At 42.2% G+C, this 20,793-nt stretch overlaps 1 long non-coding RNA gene and 1 other non-coding gene across 2 annotated transcripts in view, besides 1 other annotated feature; both read right to left on the reverse strand.

Moving 5' to 3' along the window:
* Window positions 2,241-3,440: an enhancer, noted in NCBI's record as "MED14-independent group 3 enhancer chr2:114588353-114589552 (GRCh37/hg19 assembly coordinates)". NCBI's record gives its function as "activates an origin of replication core promoter dependent on BRD2, BRD4, P300/CBP and CDK7 cofactors, and independent of MED14, by STARR-seq in HCT116 cells {active_cell/tissue: HCT116}" and the evidence as "EXISTENCE:reporter gene assay evidence [ECO:0000049][PMID:35650434]".
* Window positions 2,648-20,793, reverse strand: part of ACTR3-AS1 (ACTR3 antisense RNA 1) — a 59,810-nt gene continuing 41,664 nt past the window's right edge. Inside the window, exons 3-5 of the long non-coding RNA NR_110174.1 lie at window positions 14,729-14,818; window positions 2,995-3,050; window positions 2,648-2,893 (exon numbers count right to left, since the gene is read on the reverse strand). This is a non-coding gene — a long non-coding RNA (ACTR3 antisense RNA 1). The remainder of the gene's footprint in view (window positions 2,894-2,994; window positions 3,051-14,728; window positions 14,819-20,793) is intronic.
* On the reverse strand, window positions 19,598-19,701 carry LOC124906165 (small nucleolar RNA U13). The gene has a single exon (XR_007088753.1). It is a non-coding gene; the product is annotated as a small nucleolar RNA U13 (small nucleolar RNA).

The following is a 20,793-nucleotide window of genomic DNA, read 5'->3' on the forward strand; positions in this document are numbered from 1 at the left end:
TACTGCTGCTGCAACAAATTAGCACAAACTTGTTGACATAAACCAACACAAATTTATTACCCTGTAGTTCTGGAGGTCAGAAGTTTGAACTGGGTCTCATGGAGCTAAAATCAAGGTGTTGGCAGGACTACATTCCTTCTGGAGGCTCTGGGGGAGAATCTGTGTTTTTTGCCTTTTTCTATTCCAATTTCTGCATTCCTTAGCTTGTGGCTCTTTTCCTCCATCTTCAAAGACAGCAGGTAGCATCTTCAAATCTCTTTCTGCCTCACTCTTTGGGCTCCCTCTTCTACTAAAAGGATCCTTGTGATTACACTGGGCCCATGCAGATAATCCAGGATAATCTCCTTATCTTAAAGTCAGCTCATTAGGAGCCTTAATTCCATGTGCAACCTTAATTCCTCCTCGCTACGTGTGTTAGTCCATTTGCATTGCTATAAAGGAATACCTGAGACTGGTTAATTTATAAAGAAAAGAGGTTTATTTGGGCTCTGCAGGTTGTACAGGAAGCATGGTGTAGGCATTGGTTTCTGGTGAGGGCCTCAGGAAGCTTCCAATCATGGCAGAAGGTAAAGGGGTGCAGGAGTGTCACATGGCAAGACAGAGAGGGAGCAAGAGAGGAAGGGGAGGTGCCAGGCTCTTTTAAACAACCAGCTCTCACAGAAACTACCAGAATGAGAGCTCACTCATTACCACGGGGTGGGTACCAAACCATTCATAAGGAATCAGCCCCTATAATTCAAACATCTTCCACCAGACCCCACCTCCAACACTGGGGATCACATTTCAATATGAGATTTGGAGAGGACAGGCATCCAAACTACATCACTATGCAACATAACATACTCATAGGCTCTGGGGACTTATGGATTCTTTTTTATTCATAGCTCCATTTTTCATACTGTCTTATCATTGCGTTGTGTCAAACTCTTCTAGGACTAACATTTCCAAATCTTGTGATATTCTTGTACGTAATACATGTTGTGCAATAAAAGTATATCTGGCCTGAAAGCAATAGTGATGATTTTTATTTTATTATTCATAAGTTATATAAGAAACACAGAACTCAAACTTTCAAGTGATATACTAAATATGTGGTAGAAAATAAATATCCATAGGACATTTTCCCCAGTCTTCCTAACAGTGACAAGATAGCAGCTGGAAGATTATGAGAAAGCAATAAATATTAAACACCAATGGAAACAGTGGCTGCCTAAAGGCACCCAGAGCACACGGTCGATCTTTACTAATGATTCTTCCCCAGACCTAAAGTTCTCTATTGGCACTACCCCTATAAAGCTTTAATGAGCTCTATTCCACTCCGATCTGGGAAGGGAGAAGTAAGAAAGGGAAGCAGAAATGTAGGTGTCATAAATATGAACAAAGACCCTGGAGTATGAGAAGGCAGCCTCAGCCACCCACCCAACCATCTCTAGTGCAAGAGGCCAATTCACACAGGGGCCACAGCCCAGGCTGCCAGGCTGACCTGTGCTAAAAGAGGCGTTCCCTGAAGGCTGCTGAATGGTCCCAGCTGGCCACAGCCTGAAACACTTCTTAATCTATCTGTCTCTAAGTAGAAAAGTCAAATAAAGTCATTAACATCTCTGCAATCTCTACAAGATTGATCGGCAGATTAGCAGAGGATCCAAGAGAATGGGACCCCAGCCTAGCAAAGAAGCAGGCAAAGTTCCCCAAAGGTATGTTGTAGGTAACCCTAGGCAGGGTAAAGGAACTGTGCACCAAAAGCATTTAAATAACTTCCTGGAACCCCCCACATCCTCATTTGCAGATACATAAAATTGGCATTAATGACCTATCACATGAAAATTGCTTCTACTTTCTGAATATGAATTAAGCATCAGACCTGGCACTAGGTACATGATAAGTATTATCACTAGTTCACTGGGTTCCTTTCAGCACCTACAATGAACAGAGAGGGCCAATTGCGGTGGCTCACGCCTGTAATCCCAGCACTTTGGGAGGGCAAGGCAGGCTGATCACCTGAGGTCAGGAGTTCAAGACCAGCCTGGCCAACATGGTGAAACCCTGTCTCTACTAAAAATACAAAAAATTAGCCAGGCATGGTGGTGGGCGCCTGTAGTCCCAGCTACTTGGGAGGCTGAGGCATGAGAATCGCTTGAACCCGGGGGGTAGAGGTTGCAGTGAGCTGAGATAGCGCCACTGCATTGCAGCCTGGGCGACAAAGTGAGACTCTGTCTCAATAACAACAACGACAACAAAACACACACACACACACACACACACACACACACACACACACACAGAGGGATCTGAAGCCAGAGAAGTTCAGTTACTTACCTAAGGGCACACAGCTGATACATTTCAGGGCTGGGATTCAAATTCAAGACTTCTGACTCCAGAGCCCTACCGTTCAACCAGGAAGTACCTTATACAGTCTTTTCCACAGATGGTTTCTTCCTCAGTGGGGGAGTGATTCAAATCATCAGCTCATCTTGTCCTACGACAAGTGGCTTTTTCTAGGTTTATTTGGGACAAATGCATAAACTAAAAGCTATGCAAGAATATCAGCAAGGGAAATAATGAATGAGAGCTAGGTATATTGCTCCATTCTGGATCTCCAGAAAGGGTTAACTTTTGGCAATTTAGCTGAAATGTGGGAGAACAGATGTGTAATACTTTATATCAACAAATACTTATTTAGTGACATCGCCAGAAACAAAGATGGCTTCTGGTATTTCACACCTAGCCTTCGGGAAGGCCTGTTAGACTTGATTTTCCTCTCTGCCTTGGAGAGACACGAAGTTGCTAAGCTACCATGGGGAAGGCAACTTCTGCTGTAATTGCTTTCCCAGTTTTGGTGCTGCCCTAGAATCTTTGGTTCTCCACGTTTGCTGAGTCATCTTCACACTGGCACCTAGAACAATGACAACGAACTGTAAAAGCATGTCACTGGGTACGTCATGACCATCCACCAAAGTCTAATTAGCTGGTGCTTTCACATGGGAGAGTACTTACTGTCTATAGCCACTGTGTTCTTGTAAAAACAGGCTAGAATTACTCCCTCGCTCTTTCTGAAAGAAACAGGGAGAGGGTTAGGGTTATTGTGTTGAAAGAGAACAGGACAATTACGGCCACAAAATCAAATCACAAGCAAAACCTCGTTGATACAACTCTATTTGGGGTTTTTTGTTTGCTTTTTAAACTTTTTATTTTAAATATTATTATGTAGTGGTTTTGAGTTTTTAAATTTAATTAATTAATTAATTTATTTATTTTGAGACAGGGTCTCACTCTGTTGCCCAGGCTGGAGTGCAATGGCATGATCTTGGCTCACTGCAACCTTCGCCTCCCAGGTTCAACCAATTCTCCGGCCTCAGCCTCCCCTGCAGCTGGGATTACAGGCATCTGCCACCATGCCCGGCTAATTTTTTGTATTTTTAATTGAGACAGAGTTTCACCATGTTGGCCAGGCTGGTCTTGAACCCCTGACCTCAAGTGATCCGCCCGCCTCGGCCTCTGAAGGTGCTGGCATTACAGGCGTGAGCCACCGCACCCAGCAGATCACCATGATAAGGATACAGAACAATTCCATCACTCCCTAAAAACTCCCTCCTGTTCTCCCTTCATACTCACCTGGCCCTAGCTTCCGAAAACCACTAACCTGTTCTTTCTTCCTATAGTTTTGTCTTTGAGAATGTCATGTGAACGGAGTCTGACAGCCTCTAATCTTGAACACTGGCTTCTTTCAGTTAGCATAATGCCTTTCTGATTTATCCAAGTTGTTGCAGGTATCAATACTTCCCTTTCTGGCTGGGCACGGTGGCTCATGCCTGTAATTCCAGCACTTTTGGAGGTGAGTCAGGGGGGATCACTTGAGGTCAGGAGTTCGAGACCAGCCTGGCCAACGTGGTGAAACCCGGTCTCTACTAAAAATACAAAAATTAGCTGGGTGTGGTGGCACACACCTGTAATCCCAGCTCCTTGGGAGGCTGAGGCAGGAGAATCACTAGAACCCGGGAGGCAGAGGTTGCAGTGAGCTGAGAGCACACTACTGCACTCCAGCATGGGCGACAGAACAAACCTCTGTCTCAAAAAAAAACAAACTTTCTTTCATTTTATTGCTAAATAAATTTTTTTGGTATTAAACTTTTTATTTTAACTATTATTATATAGTAATTTTGATTTTTTAAATTTTATTTATTTATTTATTTTGAGACAGGGTCTCATTCTGTCACCCAGGCTGGAGTGCAGTGGCACGATCTCGGCTCCCTGCAACCTCGGCTTCCCAGCTTCAAGCAATTCTCCTGCCTCAGCCTCTGCAGTACCTGGGATTACAGGCACATGCCACTACGCCCGGCTAATATGATGGCCGATGAATGTATCATCATCCTTAACATCTTAAAAGTTAATGTATTTATTAAATTGAGGTATAATTTATATACCATAAAATTAACCACTTTACTTTGGTTTTGAAAAAGAAGAAATGGATCACGTGATAATCCTCATCCTATAAAAAGATAACCTTTAAGCTGGAAACAGATTTCTGAACATGCCATGTTTGTCTAACTTTCTCTGGCTTCCTGCCCCTTGTTCTTCTGCCTTTGGAGAAAAAAAATCAAATTATTTCTATATTTGGAGAATTGTTCAGTACAAGTTCCTTCTCCATCTGCTTGCACTGATGTTATTAAAAAATGTTCACTCTTTTCTATTGATTTCATATTGGCTCTCTAACATTCTACATAGTATTTTTATTAATTAATTTTTTAAAGATAGGAATACTCATATTTTGCACAAAACACAAAGTGAAATACTGGAAATACTGAGGTAAGTCTCCCTTACCCTCTCTCTTCCAGCAACTCAGTTCCTTTCTGAGGCCAAAATTTTCTCAACTTTCTTAGGCATCATTAGAGAGCTATCCTATTAATTTACAAATATATACATATACCAATGTATACAAATATATGTATATAAACATATACAGAAGTATACAAATATATGTGTATATGTGCATACAAAATATAGATAGGTGCATAATAAAATAAATGCATATACATACATACACATATACCTTTTCCCACACACAAATAGGGGCATATTCTACCAAATGTTCTATGCTTTACTTTTTTCTGTTAATAATAACCCTATTCTTGGGATTCTTTCCAGAAAAGTACATTTATAGGAATCTATTGTGTCCATTTTACTATATTTTAAAAGTATATCATAATTTACTTAAAACCATCCCATTACTGGCCGGGTGCAGTGGCTCACACCTGTAATCCCAGCACTTTGGGAGGCCGAGGCAGGCGAATCACGAGGTCAGCAGTTCCAGACCAGCCTGGCCAACATGGTGAAACCCCGTCTCTACTAAAAATACAAAGATTAGCCAGGCATGGTAGCGGGCGCCTGTAATCCCAGCTACTCCAGAGGCTGAGGCAGGAGAATCACTTGAACCCAGGAGGCGGAGGGTACAGTGAGCTGAGACCGCGCCATTGTACTGCAGCCTGGGTGACAGAGGGAGACTCCATCTCAAAAAAAAAAAAAAAAAAAAATCCCATTACTGTTATGTACATTGCTTCCAAACTCTGCCCTTACAATGTCTTTTTTCTTTTTTTCTTTTGAGATAGAGTCTAAGTCTGTCGCCCAGGCTAGAGGGCAAAGGTATGAGCTCAGCTCACTGCAATTTCCACCTCCCAGGTTGAAGCGATTCTCTTGCCTCACTCTCCTGAATAGCTGGGATTACAGGTATGTGCCACCACGCCCGACTAATTTTTGTATTTTTAGCAGAGACGAGGTTTCACCATGTTGCCCAGGCTGGTCTGGAACTTCTGACCTCAAGTGATCTGCCCACCTCGGCCTCCCAAAGTGCTGAAATTACAGGTTTGTGCCACTACGCCTGGCCTGCTGCCCTTATAATGAATACGCAATTTTATTTAAACCATTTCACACATGTGAAACCAACTCTGTAGGACAATTGCTTATAAGCGGAATTTTTGATCAAAAAGTATGTACGTTTCTGCTTTTGAAGGGTATTGCCAAATTATCCTTCAGGGAAATTGCATCAATGTGCACTCTGTTAGCAATGGAGCACAAAGTTTCTACATAGTCTATGTATACGTAGTAACTATTATAACATAGTTTCAGACTAATTAATAATAAATATTCAATGATTAATATCAGGAAATTAGCATTAATGGTTTCTCAATCTTTATTTTCACAACATTAACATTTTTGAAGAGTGTTGGCCAGTTATGTCAAAGAATAGCCTTCAATTTGGGCCTGTTTTTTTCTGTAAAACAAAGAACCAGAGGGGGCGGGGCAGCATAAAAAAACAAAACAAAGAAACAAAAAAACAACAAACAGCCAACTGCAGGTGGGAGGCGGTGGCTCATGCCTGTAATCCCAGCACTTTGGGAGGCCGAGGCGGGCGGATCACCTGAGGTTGGGAGGTTGAGACCAGCCTGACCAACATGGAGAAACCCTGTCTCTACTAAAATGCAAAATTAGCTGGGCGTGGCAGCACATGCCTGTAATCCTAACTACTCGGGAGGCCGAGGCAGGAGAATCCCTTGAACCTGGGAGGCAGAGGTTGCAGTGAGCCGAGACTGTGCCACTGCACTCCAGCCTTGGCAACAGAGTGAAATCCGTCTCAAAAAAAAAAAAAAAAAGAGAGAGAGAGAGAAAGAAAGAGACAGTGAACGAGGACAAACAACTGTGCATGTGTATTTCCAGACCATTTTCAATTGGAATAAAAAATCCGACCTTTTCTGAATCCAAAGCCCTTCTTGATAATGAATATTCACTGTCGCCCTCCATATGCAAATAGCAAAGTTATATGATTATATGTATACTATAAAACAAAATGACCCTTCAAACTTTCTTATTATTTTATTTATTTATTTATTTATAGAGACAGGGTCTCACTATGTTGCCCAGGTTGGTCTCCAACTTCTGGGCTCAAGCAAGCCTCCCACCTCAGCCTCCCAAAATGCTAGAATTACACGTGTGAGCCACCACACCTGGCCTTGATGTTTTGATATATGTATCAAAACATATTGATACATATATCAATATGTGATTGTAAAATGATCACCACAACAAAATTAATTGACATATCCATCACCTCACATAGTTACCATTTTCATGGCTCACTGCAGCCTCAACTTCCTGCACTTGGGTGATCCTCCCACCTCAGCCTCCCGAGTAACTGGAACCATACATGCATGTCTCCCATCCTGGCTAATTTTGTAATTTTTGTAGAGATGGGTTTTCGCCATGTTGCCCAGGCTGGTCTCCAACTCCTAGGCTCCAGAGATCTGCCCTCCCTCAGCCTCCCAAAGTGCTGGGATTACAGGTGTGATCCACTGTGCCCAGCTTCTTTTTTATTCTTGTTTTTACTTTGCATTCTCTTTCCTTTTGGATATTTCTTCTTTCTTTTCTTTTCTTCTTTTTTTTTTGAGATGGAGTCTCGCTCTGTCGCCCAAGCTGGAGTGTAGTGGCATGATCTCGGCTTACTGCAAGCTCCGTCTCACAGGTTCAAGCGATTCTCCGGCCTCAGCCTCCTAAGTAGCTGGGATTACAGGCACGGGCCAACATGCCCAGCTAATATTTTTGTATTTTTAGTAGAGAAGAGGTTTCACCATTTTGGCCTGGCTGGTCTCAAACTCCTGAGGTCGTGATCTGCCCACCTCAGCCTCCCGAAGTGCTGGGATTACAAGCTTGAGCCACTGCGCCCGGCCTCTTCTTTCTTTTCTAACTTCTTGAATTGTATATTAAATGCTTAATTGACTTATCCTTAATATTTCTTTTTGGTGTAAACACATTTTAAGGCTCTATCACTCAAGATGAAACTTTAGCTGAGGGTGGCATAAAAGCAGATTTCCTGGGTCTGGATCCCAGCTCTTCACTTACTAGCTACAAGACCTTGGGCAAGTTATTTCATTGCTCTGTGCCTTGGTTTTTCCTTCTTGTTCAAATCACTTATTCTTTGTCCTTATTATGTTTTAAATAGTTCATCCATCATTATCTGATGTGCATGTGTCAATTCTCCCAGTTTGAGAATTAACATATTCCAGGACATTTTTTCTTTTTTTAGTGCATACAAGTACATGATGATTCTATCCTCTTGGTGAACTGTTCCTTATCAGGGTGTTGTATCCCTCTTTATTTTTTTATTTTTTATTTTTTTTAGACGGAGTCTCGCTCTGTTGCCCAGGCTGGAGCGCAGTGGCGCAATCTTGGCTCATTGCAACCTCCGCCTCCTGGGTTCAAACAATTCTCCTGCCTCAGCCTCCCAAGTAGCTGGGACTACAGGCACGGCTAATTTTTTGTATTTTTAGTAGAGACAGGGTTTCACCATATTAGCCAGGATGATCTCGATCTCTTGACCTTGTGATCTGCCCGCCTCGGCCTCCCAAAGTGCTGGGATTACAGGTGTGAGCCACCGCACACGGCCCCCTCTTTATTCTTAATAATGCTTTTTTGTCTTAAATTGTATTTTTGCAAATATTAGCATTTTTATACCAGGTTTCTCTTGTTTGGAATAGGTGTTGACAGGTTTACATTTTTTCATATCTTCATTTTCAAAGACACCCAGCTAGCGTGTGGCAAAGCCAGTTTTATTCCTGCATCCCCTAACCCCCAGTCTATTATTCTTTTTTTCGTGTCTCAATGTCTCAGGTCCACCTTCTTTCATGATTCAACATAAGTCACTCTTCACTTTGAGGCTCCCCCAGCAACTCAGTCTATCATGATTGCTTCCTCTTCTGAGTGCTCAATGTCCACAGTACCCATTTGGTCCTTAAAATCTTAAAAGTATGCTACCTTGGTTTTGTGTTGATCTCTATCCTGGAAGTTCCTTGAAAGCTACAATATGAATTATATCTCTTCTGCAGACTGCTCCAAAATTACTTTACTAAGGGGGGCTAGTGGTACAATCTGATTGGGAAGGGAGTGCGTAGGGGACTTGTCTGGAAGCTGCATTTGCATAGCAGACACTTCATTTTATTTGCAGTGATTGAGGGTGAGTGTTACAGAGTTTAGGAAGAGGTAAGCTAATGCCCCCGTATACCACTCTTTCAGCTGTCACTGACCTCTACCGGCTTGCCTATGATAGTGGTTTCCAACAAATTTAGCTGCTCTTCAAAATCACCAAGGGAGTAAGATTTTTTTAAGTACTTATTTTCAGATCTCCCTCCAGAGCCACTGAGTCAGAATCTCTTGAGTGGAGCTTGGGAACCTAGTGTTTAAGGAGCTCTGTTGAAATTCAAGACATCTAAGCACCTGGTCCGTAGGCAATAACTGCTTGTAAATACAGGATGGGTACCAAGTCGGGAAGCAGAAAAGCTTTAATTGACATTCTATAATAATATATAAGAAAGTGATATCTGTTTCCAAACTCCCATTGCTACAAATGGTTTAGTGTAAAATAAGCTCTATTCAATCCCATTTAGTAAGCATTTCTATATGAAAGAGGCATATAATAATAACAAAAGTAATATCTGACGTCCGCTGAACACCTAATACACACCAGCACTTTGTCGAATGTTGTATGTACACTGTCTCATTTATTATTCACCAGGCTTCTCTGTGTGCTCTATAATCAGGGTCAACTTATCCATTAGGCTCACTAGGCACTATGTCAAGGGTCCATGACACTATTAGGGGCTCATGAAAATGTTTTTGTTTATTTTAGCATCAGAAAGGAAAAAAAAAGAACAGAATCCCTGTTGAATTATATTAGCCTTTTTACCAACACAGTCACAAAATATAGTTGGTAATCATTTTCATGGAGAAAGGGGCCTATGAAGGCAAAAGTTCCTTGGGCCTCTGAAAGTCATAATGCAAGCTTCACCATAATCATTCCCATTTAACAGCTGAGGAAGCTGAAGATCAATGAAGATGAAAATTTAAACTTGCCCAAAAGCCACATCTCTAGGAAACGGCAGAAGTGACCTTTGGACACAGGTCTGTGGGACTCTACTGATGACCCTTTCAACCACCACACTGTATACTGCACAGCATTATTTAGCAAAGAAGCTCATACTAAGTTGAGAAAACAGGTTTGTTGTACATTAACCAGTTAGAAAATCCTTCAAGAAAAGAATATAAATTAATGTCTAAATTCAGGGACAGACCCAGATTGCGTGGGGCCTGAGGCTTTTACAATTTAAATGATCTTCTTAAGACAATACAAAATTATAAATAAAAATTAGCCACACAGTCTTGGAGGGGACTGTCCAAGTTAAGGGGCCCTCAAGTGTAAGCCTCCTTAGCAACATGGCCCATCCGCCCTTGCCTAAATGTCTTTGGGTCTAAAGAAAGCCAGGGTAGGAATCAGTGTAAACCAGGGCATATCAGCAAAGGACTCAAGGAGGAAATGGGACTTTGCAGTATGGCTGTGAGTTGGGCACCCTGAGTGCAAACCCTGGGGGCCAAGTGTGAGCATAACATGTTTAGAGGAAAGCAGAGAACTCACCCAACTGAACCTACTGTGTCCGGGGTAGGGAGAGGATCCAGGGTTCCCTGAGGAAAGTGAGGCCTGTTTTGTTTAATTCATTAATTTATTTATTTTTAAGACAGGGTCTCACTCTTTCACCCGGCTGGGTGCAGTGGTGCAATCATGGCTCACTGCAGCCTTGACCTCCCAGGCTCAAACAATCCTCCCACCTCAGCCTGCTAAGTAGTTGGGAACTACAAATGGCTAGTTTTGTTTTTTGTTTTCAATTTATTTTTTTGTAGAGATGTGGGGGGAGGAGTTCTCCCTGTGTTGCCCAGGCTGGCCTTGAACTCCTGGACTCAAGCAGTCCCCCAGCCTTGGCCTCCCAAAGTGCTGGAATTACAGGTGTGAGCACTGTGCCTGTTTTAAATACCAGGATGGAGGCCAGTGGGAATCCTTATACTTATTCCTGGGTCTTATGTCATTACCTAATAGTAGGGCAGGACCCTTGGGAGGGTCAGGAAGAGGCAAAGAGGTCTAATTGGGGGGATTAATCTGAGTGTGTTTTAATAAGCACCTGAAATTATGGTTGGCTGGGAGGAGGGAAGAGAAAAAAAATGAGTAAGCGTCAAAAAGGCTCAATCAAGTAGATAATGAGGACTACAGGGGAAGAAGAGTCAGCGATCATTTATGCATTTCGAGCATGGATCACTGAAGGAACGGTGTGAGATTGCCAGAAATGTAGAGACCGGTTACGTTTGGTTCTAGAGAAGTTAAATCCAACAAAATAATCACAACAGAGAGGCATCCTGAACTAACTTGACCAGACCCGCTGGCCTTAGCCTTTGCTGTTGTTTTCCAGTTACCAATGCCCCATCTGATTGACACTTGTTTTTCTCAGTTGTGTTAACAGCATTAAGACATTACAGTCAAGGTCGGCCTCCTCTTCTTTCTGGCTAGGAAGCTGTGGTGTTATTTTATACACACACACACACACACACACACACACACACACACACACACACACACATTTCCGTCCACAGTTCCTGGACCATATCTCCCAGAGCCCTCGTTACAACCTTTCGTTATAAGGTTGGGTGTGTTAGGCCTCAGGAGCAGATTCAGAAAACAGAATCTCTCTGACCTTTTCCTGCCCTTCTTTCACCTTCTGGAAGGCAGGACTCTAGTCTTACCCCACCTTTCTGACTACGGGTCTTAAGATCCTCTCCAGAGATGCTCCTGCCCTATAAGCCGGGGGAAGAAATGCTGATATCATGAATCTTCCACAAAAACCCAAGAGGACTGGATTCAGGCAGCTTCCAGATAGCTGAACACACGGAGGTTCCTGGATGGTGACCGCCAAGGGAGGGGATGGGAGTTCCGCGCCTCTTCCCCCATACCTCACCCTGTGCATCTCTCCGTCTGTATCCTTTGTAATGCCCTTTATAACAAACCAGTAAACTTTTTTCCTGAGTTCTGTGAGCTGCTCTAGCAAATTAACTGAACGCAAAGAGAAGGTGTAGGAACCCCAGCTTGAAGCTGGTTGGTCGGAAGTCCCAGAGGCCCACATCTGCAATGGGTGTCTGTGGAATGGGCAGTTTTGGGGACTAAGCCCCAAGCCGATAGAATCTGATGCTATCTCCAGGTAGACAGTGTCGGAACTGAATTGGAGGACATCCAGCTGGTGTCTGCTGCTATGTGAGTCGGGAAATTCCCCGCATATTTAGGCAAAGAAGTCTTCTTCTTTGTTGTTGATTGCTGCTGAGGTGGTGTGAGGGCCAAGAGAAAACTGGGTTTGAGAGTATTTTTCGAAACAGAAGCACTTTGCCTTTAACATGGCTTTTGTTAAACACCATCATTAGAAGATTAGTTATAATTCAACTCCCAGAGTTACAACCCTCTCCTCTGCCTTTCCAGGTGAGCGGCCAGAGGACTAGTCACAACGAAAATAGAAAGAGGAGAAGGGATTCAAGAGGGCATTACAGAGGTATAAAAATCAGAGGCCCAGAGCAGTGGCTTATGCCTGTAATCTCAGCACTTTGGGAGGCCGTGGTGGGCAGATCACCTGAGGTCAGGAGTTCGAGACCAGCCTGGCTAACATGGTGAAACCCTGTCTCTACTAAAAATACCAAAAATTAGCCGGGTGTAGTGGCGGGTGCCTGTAATCCCAGCTCCTCAGGAGGCTGAGACAGGAGAATCGCTTGAACCTGGGAGGCAGAGGTTGCAGTAAGCCGGGATCGTGCCATTGCACTCCAGCCTGGGTGACAAGAGCGAAACTCCACCTCAAAAAATATATATATATATAAATAAATAAAAAATCAAGGAATTATACAGAAATGGCGAAAGAAAGGAAAAAAGTTAGATTGGTGAACAAAGTGCAAAGAAGTCAGCAAAATGAGGAGGAGGCTCAAAACTAGAACTTGCTTTTTGGGATATAAATTTCTCTGTAAGGAATCCTCTCCTCGCGCCCCCCACAGGAAGTGGGGAACATCTTTCCTTTACCCCCTGTGACTCCCCAGGTTGCAGTCAGTGCTTCCCATTGCAGAGCCTACCAGGTTACCAGAGACCAAGGGAGCTGGGAAATGCTAGTTCCTTTTTATAGAGGAAGAGTAAAGAAGAGTTAACACACAGAGGGGTTAACTATCCTTTTGCTCCTGATTTGTAACTTTATTATATTGTGATCAGGGAATATGGTCTATATAATAATGACTGTGTTGTTTGTTGACTCACTTTGAGACATAAGACATAGTCAATTTTTGTAAACTTTTTTTTTTTCAGATGGAGTCTTGCTTTGTCACCCAGGCTGGAATGCAGTGGCGCGATCTCGGCTCACTGCAATCTCCGCCTCCTGGGTTAAGCTATTCTCCTGTCTCAGCCTCCTGAGTAGCTGGGACTACAGGCATGTGCCACCATTCCTGGCTAATTTTTGTATTTTTAGTAGAGATGGGGTTTCACCATGTTGGCCAGGCTGGTCTCAAACTCCTGACCTCAAGTGATCCGCCTGCCTCGGCCTCCCAAAGTGCTGGGATTACAGGTGTGAGCCACCACATCCAGCCAATTTTTGTAAATGTTCTAAGTGTTGTTGTGTATTCTTTATTTGTGTGTGTGTGTGTGTGTGTGTAGTGTTCCACATATTTCCGTAAGATTTGGATCATTAATTGTGTTATTTGCACAATAAAAATAAATGTTTTTGAGTCATATGACTATTTTGTCTGCATGAAGTCAGTTTTTGAAAGAGGTTTTTACCAGCCAGGTACAGTGGCTCATGCCTGTAATCCCAGAACTTTGGGAGGCTGAGGCAGGTGGATCACCTGAGGTCAGGAGTTTGAGAACAGCCTGACCAACATGGAGAAACCCCATCTCTACTAAAAATACAAAATTAGCCAGGCATGGTGGCACATGCCTGTAATCCCAGCTACTCAGGAAGCTGAGGCAGGGAAATCGCTTGAACCTGGGAGGCCGAGGTTGTGGTGAGCCCAGAGAGCACCATTACACGCCATTACACTCCAGCCTGGGCGATAAGAGTGAAACTCCGTCTCAAAAAAAAAAAAAAAAGAGGTTTCTAAAAATCTCTCATTATGATTATGGATTTATCAAATTCATATGTCATTTATATGGAGAATAGTCTATAAAGGAACATTAATGGAAATAGTTGGAAGGCTGGTGCAGTGGTCTGGGTGAGACATGGTGGTAGTTTGGCCTAAGATGGTAAGAATGTGGAGAGAACAGGAGAGAAAGCAATTAATCCTGATTCTTAGGTTTCTGGTGTGGACAAATGATGGTATGGTTGGTGGTACCAATTACCAAATGGCATGCCACTGAGCAATGTTTTTCCTTGAGCACATTACATAAACTCTCTGGATTCTATTTTCTTATTTATCAAAATGGATATAACAATAGATTGTATTTCATAGTGTTATTGGGATGGTGAGAAGAGTTAATATATGTAAAGTGCTTAGCACAATATCTAAGTCGTTGTTCAATGTGTGCTTTTGTTATTACCAATTAGGATATAGTTAAAGGAGGGAAACTTTGGGTTTGAAGTGGGAAATGAAGTTTTTCTGCGGAGGCTCATGACATGTGAGTTGTTTTATAAGTTATCTTTCAGTAAAGAGGGTCTGAGTCATCTTCGCAAATGCTGGCAGGGCTGAAAGAGAATGGAAGTGAGAGAAGACCACTGGAAGGTCAAAGGCAACTTTCAAGAAGTAGCAGAATGCAGAAAAGATTTTCTTAAGGTTGGGAAGGTAAATTATGGTTTCAGGCCGAGAATGGGGAGACGTTTCACAAAGAGATGAAATAGCTGACTCTACTTACTTTCCTTTTTTTTTTTTTTCAGTGTCCCAGTGTGATTGATTCTGGGTAAGATAGCCAGCCGTCCGCAAAACGCTGCAGGAGAGCACAACTCTGGGAAAAAATGACAGCAATTAACAGAGTAACAGGAACTTACAGAACAACAGTAACTTACCTCGAGTGTGATTTATCATATGATTTTAGTAAACAGATTACGCTAGCGACAGTTGCTAAGAAGTCTGTTTTAAATTTTTGGTGCAAAAGGAAAAAGTGATTAACTTGACAAAGATTCATAAGCACATATGTTTCCAGCTCTGAGCTGTGGGGCAGAATGAAAACTGAAGTTGTGGATTCTATAGTATTCACTGCCTTGGCAGATTTCGATGTGAGATTATGCATGACTACACCCCTCCCACAAGTTTCCATAGGCTTAGGAATTTTCTTATTAAGGCTGTTATGCAACCTGCATTTTAGCAAGGGCATACAAACGCACGGAAAGAATATTCCCATACAGAAATCTTTTTTTTAACTTTTGTTTTTGTTTTTGAGACAGTCTCGCTCTGTCGCCCAGGCTGGAGTACAGTGGTGTGATCTCGGCTCACTGCCACCTCCGCCCCCAGGTTCAAGCTATTCTCATGCCTCAGCCTCCTGAGTAGCTGGGATTACAGGCATGTGCTACCACACCAGGCTAATTTTTGTATTTGTAGTAGAGATGGAGTTTCACCATGTTGGCTAGGCTGGTCTTGAAATCCTGACCTCAGTTGATCCACCCACCTTGGCCTCCCAAAGTGCTAGGATTACAGGCATGATCCACCGTGCCCGTCCCCCATATACAAATCTTGACTTATCTGTATGCCCCTTCACTGGGTTAGTGCTGAGTTGCTTTTTCTTTTCTGTATTTTTAAGGAGAAAGACATTGCTTTAAGCCTACTGTAATTGAAGCCATCTTTCATTAACCAGTTTTAGATCTATCACAAATAAATTATAAGCTAGATTCAGTTATGAAGCCATTAACACACTTCCCGTAAATAGAAAATGAAAAGCAAGCTTTGCGTAAAGGTAGGAGACTAACATACAATTCTATTTTGTTGACTTCCGGAAATCCCAGTAAAACTACCAGTAAATAGATATTTTAAGGCTTAAACCCAATAGATGGAGAGAGCTGAAGAAGGGACAATTTTGGAAGCTGGAAAACAGATGAATACATAGGGATAAAATGAGCAGATTTGAGAAATTTAAATCCCACCAGGCAGAAGAGAAAACTAAAAACTAATCTGATTTATAGCATATCTGAAGACTTGGAAACTAATGGCAGCAGGTCCCTGAAGAAGTGAGGGTAAAGGGGATATGGACTAAATAAGGAGGATTGTTTGGAAGTATTCTTTAGGAGGAATTTGATTGGATCCGTAGCCTTCTCCCCAGATCTGTGTAGCATCCCAGAGACTGCACCTTCCTTAACTGGCAAAAGGGTGAAGTTTATTTCCAGAATGGGGTAAAATAGATGGTTCTACACTGGGAGAACACCAGTGCAGTTGAGTGTGAGAGAATTGTACTAAAAATAGTGGATTAAGTGAATTCATGCATATTAGCTTCTGGGATACCCAATACATATCCATCTTTTCCTTCTCTGGGCCAAGAACACTGAAAGTTAGACCTTCACCCTCCAGGCAGGACATGGAGTCTTCTCTGGGAAATATGCTTGGTCCATGATGAAAGACCTGACCTTGGAAAGATATTGACATTGGAAGTTCCCTCAGTAGACCCAACCCACCGTGATGCTCTTACAGTGAAACCCACATCAGACCAGCCCAGCTCTCATATTCTCAGGGCTTCCAGCCAGTGTTTCAGTATCTCACTCTTAAATATTATCAGATACAAAGATGATAAGATATGTGAGGAAAGCCTTTAACTTGGAAGATAGAAAATGAATAAAGAAAAAAAGTAATGTCAAGGAAATGAAGATAAAATAAAAGTCAAACCTCTCACAAAGAGAAGCTACTATAACCACAAGACAAGAAAAGAATTCTACGCAAAAATAAACAAGCAAATAAATAAATGGAACAAAACACATACAGAAGATCTTGAAAATTAAATACATAGCTGAAAGGAATATTTTATTTTCTTTCTTTGTTTCTTTTTTTGAGACAGGATCCTTCTTAGTCACCCAGGCTGGAGTGCAATGGCATGATCATAGCCCACTGCAGCCTGGACCTTCTGGGTTTAAGCAATCCTCCCACCTAAGCTCCCTGAGTAGCTGGGACTACAAGTGCATGCCACTATGCCTGCCTAATTTCTTTTACGTTTTGTAGAAATGAGTCTTACTATGTTGCCTTAGTTGGTGTCAAACTCCTGGGCTCAAGTGATCCTACAGCCACCGCCTCCCAAAGTGCTGGGATAATAGATGTGAGCCAATCCACCCAACTAGAAATTAATATTTTCAATAGAAAGGTCAGAATGTAAAGTTGAGAATTTTTCCAGCAAAAAGAAAAGGGAATGGAAAACAGGAGATACAAATGTCAGACAATTAGGAAATTGGTCAAGGGTGTTAGCATCTGTGTCCATACCCAAATCTCATCTTGTAGCTCCCATAATTCCCATGTGTTGTGGGAGGGACCCGGTGGGAGATGGCTGAATCATGGGGGTGGGTCTTTCTTGTGCTGTTCTTGTGACAGCGGATGGGTCTCATGAGATCTCATGGTTTTAAAAAACGAGAGTTTATCTGCACAAGCTCTTTTTTTTGCCTGCTGCCATCCATGTAAGATGTGACTTGCTCCTCCTTACTTTCTGCCATGATTGTGAGGCCTCCTTAGCCATGTGGACTGTATGTCCAATTAAACCTCTTTCTTTTGTAAATTGCCCAGTCTCGAGTATGTCTTTATCAGCAGCAGGAAAATGGACTAATAGAGCATCCAAAAGAAAAAAATGAAGAGAAGTTAATAATCTGAATTTCCAGACAGAAAAATGTATTAAGTGAATACAGTCTTAGGCTAATGCACACATTGTGAAATTTCAAACATTGAAGACAAAGAGAAGATCCTGCAAGATTGTAGAAAGGGGAAAAATATACAGGTCATATACACAGGATCAGAGATTTATGAGAATAAAAATGTTCCCCAAAACTTAGGGAAAGGCAGTTGTTCTGTAGTCATAATAAGAAGTAGCTATCAAAAACTGGTTTTAAACCCATGTAATCAATCAACACAATTCCCCTCAATGTACACACTTTTACAAACCAACACATCAGAATCAGGTCTTTGTTTCTGAAAAACAGCCAGTCATAGATGGATTCACTCCTGTAAAAACACCTTTGAGTGGTGAACGATCAATAAAGTTTCCCCTCCCCTAAGGAACTGTGATTCTGCAAATGATGACATCCTACTGAAGTCTCTGAACTCCCTGAACTCATGCTTCCTCAAAACCGTAGTAGTCTGCTCCACATGGAAAGACAGTTTCTGACCATCATAGCTCTCACTAGAGCAAGGAGTAAATTCAGCTTTGTCCTTTTATTTCAGATATTAAGTGGTGGTCTCATCATCTTTTGGCATAGACTTTTAACTTGTGAACAGGAGGACTGGCTACAAAGCAATGGAGAAAGGTTTTCAAAATGTTAAGAGAAAATAATTAACGATCTAAAATTCTACTTCCAACCAAACTAGCACTTAAACACAAGAATCGAAAAAAAATTAAAAAAAAAAAGACATTTTCAGACATGCAAGATTTCATACAATTAATTTACTGCTCATGTACTCTTCCTTGGGAAGTCACTGAAGGAAATCAAGCAAGAGGAAAATGTGGATTACTAGAAACATGAGATCCAATACAGGAAAAAAAGCAGAGGACAGCCCCAGGATGATGGTAAAGAGAGATCCCAGCATGGTATCTGATTCATGCTGCAGCTTGTATAAATTACCTTGTGCTGCATAACAAACCAACTCAAATCCCAGTGGCTTAAAACAACCATCTATTTAGTTCACAATTTTGCTAGGCGGTTCTTCTGGCTGATCTTAGCTAGGCTCACTCATGCATCCATGGTCAGTTGGCAGTTTAGCTGGGGCTGACTGGTTCCAGATGACCTCACTCAAATGCCTGACACGTGTCTTGGTGTTGGCTGCAGTGATGAGATGACTGGACTATGTTTCCCTCCTCATCAAGAAGGTGAGCCTAGTTCATCACATGACAGCGGGGGTCCAAGAGCCCAAACCACAAGGACTCTTCAAGCCTCTACTGTGTCATATTTCGTTGGTCAAAGCAAGTCACATGGTCAAGGTCAGAGCCAAAGTGGAAAGTATACTCAGAGTTACAGAGCAAAGGAACACAGACACAAGAAAGGGAATCATTGCTATTGTTGCTGTTGCTGGCCTCATTTTTTTTTTTTTAAGTAAGGATAAGGTTTTGTTTTGTTGCCCAAGCTGGTCTCAAACTCCTGGGCTCAAGTGATTCACCCACCACGATCTCCCAACATGTTGGGATTACAGATGTGCACCACCGTATTTCATGTTTATTATTTTTTTCATTATTTCATATTTAGTTTTTTATTAGTTGTCTCCCCTAACAGAATGTAAAGTCCCATGTGGGCAGCCATATTTGCCCCCAGGTGCTGAAAACCGTTTCTTTAGAATAAATTAATGAAAACAAAAAATACATGCAGAAAGGAAAAAAAAAACACAAATCTTTATAGTGGCTGCTTTGAGAGAGGAATTGAGAATTTGAGTGTCAGGAGTGGAAGAGCAGGAGAAATGGACTGACTTTTACTTCTTTAGGTCCCCCTGTCTTCCAATCCCTACAGGCTTCCGGGTCCAAGTGGTGGCCTCCACGGCGCTGCACACCCACAGAGATTCATGAGAGTGTCGAAGGGAAATGTGAGAACATCTATTTATCTGCTATTTATTTTCATGTCAGATGGGCAAAATGTTGACATCATGACAAGGTTTGAGGATGGCACATCCCACACTTGAATGTGAACACCTAATCATCATGCTTATGAACTACAAAAGCATCAACATATTTATGTTTGCTTTCTTCCTAAGAGAAAAAAGGCATTATTTGTATTTAATTTACAGATTTTTAGTACTTGCTTATAATTTATAAATTATATTCTAGATTGCATGCTCAGTGATTTTGCTGACAAGAGTATGGAATCAAAGACATTTGGTCTGAAGAAGTTTAGTTACAGACTAATAGCCCATAGGTCTTGTAAATGGTGAACGTGTTTGACTTGTCTTGTACTGTTTTAAAATGATTTGAATAAAATCCAGAGATTTCACATAAAATTCCAGATTTCTGGCTGTTTTTTTTTTTTGTTTTTTTGTTTGTTTGTTTTTGAGATGGAGTCTCTCTCTGTCCCCCAGGCTGGAGTGCAGTGGCATGATCTCGGCTCACTGCAAGCTCTGTCTCCCGGGTTCACGCCATTCTCCTGCCTCAGCCTCCCGAGTAGCTGGGACTACAGGTGCCCACCACCACGCCTGGCTAACTTTTTGTATTTTTAGGAAAGATGGGGTTTGACCGTGTTAGCCAGGATGTTCTCGATCTCCTGACCTTGTGATCCGCCTGCCTCTGCCTCCCAGAGTGCTGGGATTACAGGCGTGAGCCACTTCTGGCTTTTTGAGACACTAGAGGAGCTGGCATTACTGGACCTGTGATGTGCTGGAGCTGGTGAGCATGTGAACGTTTAGAGGTGTGTGGGTGTGTGTGTGTTTGTGTGTGTACGTGTACTCTTGTGCACCAAGGTCTTCCTAATGGCTTCCTGTGGGTTCTCCTATTCAGTTCACTTCACTCATTTATCAGCCTGGCCTTGCAGACATTTTAGTTTCTGGCCCTTTTCTGACAGTTTCTCAACATCAGCCAAATCATTGTGCCTGCTAGCAGGGAAAGTGATGAGATTTGCTAATAATGTAATTTTTTTTTCAAAAAAAAATGACTGATTTCAGAGCTACTGCTACCCTAACACTACACTTACTCACTTTCAATCCTGGTGAGTAAGAATAATAGGGCATGTGTTGACACACCAGAAACCAGGCTTAAAAGGGGAGTGTGTCCTTGTGAATCACCATTACTCAGGTGCGTTCTGGCTGAAAGCAGGCTGACAACCA

Source organism: Homo sapiens, chromosome 2, assembly GCF_000001405.40.
Source record: "Homo sapiens chromosome 2, GRCh38.p14 Primary Assembly".
Classification (NCBI taxonomy): Eukaryota; Metazoa; Chordata; class Mammalia; order Primates; family Hominidae; genus Homo; species Homo sapiens.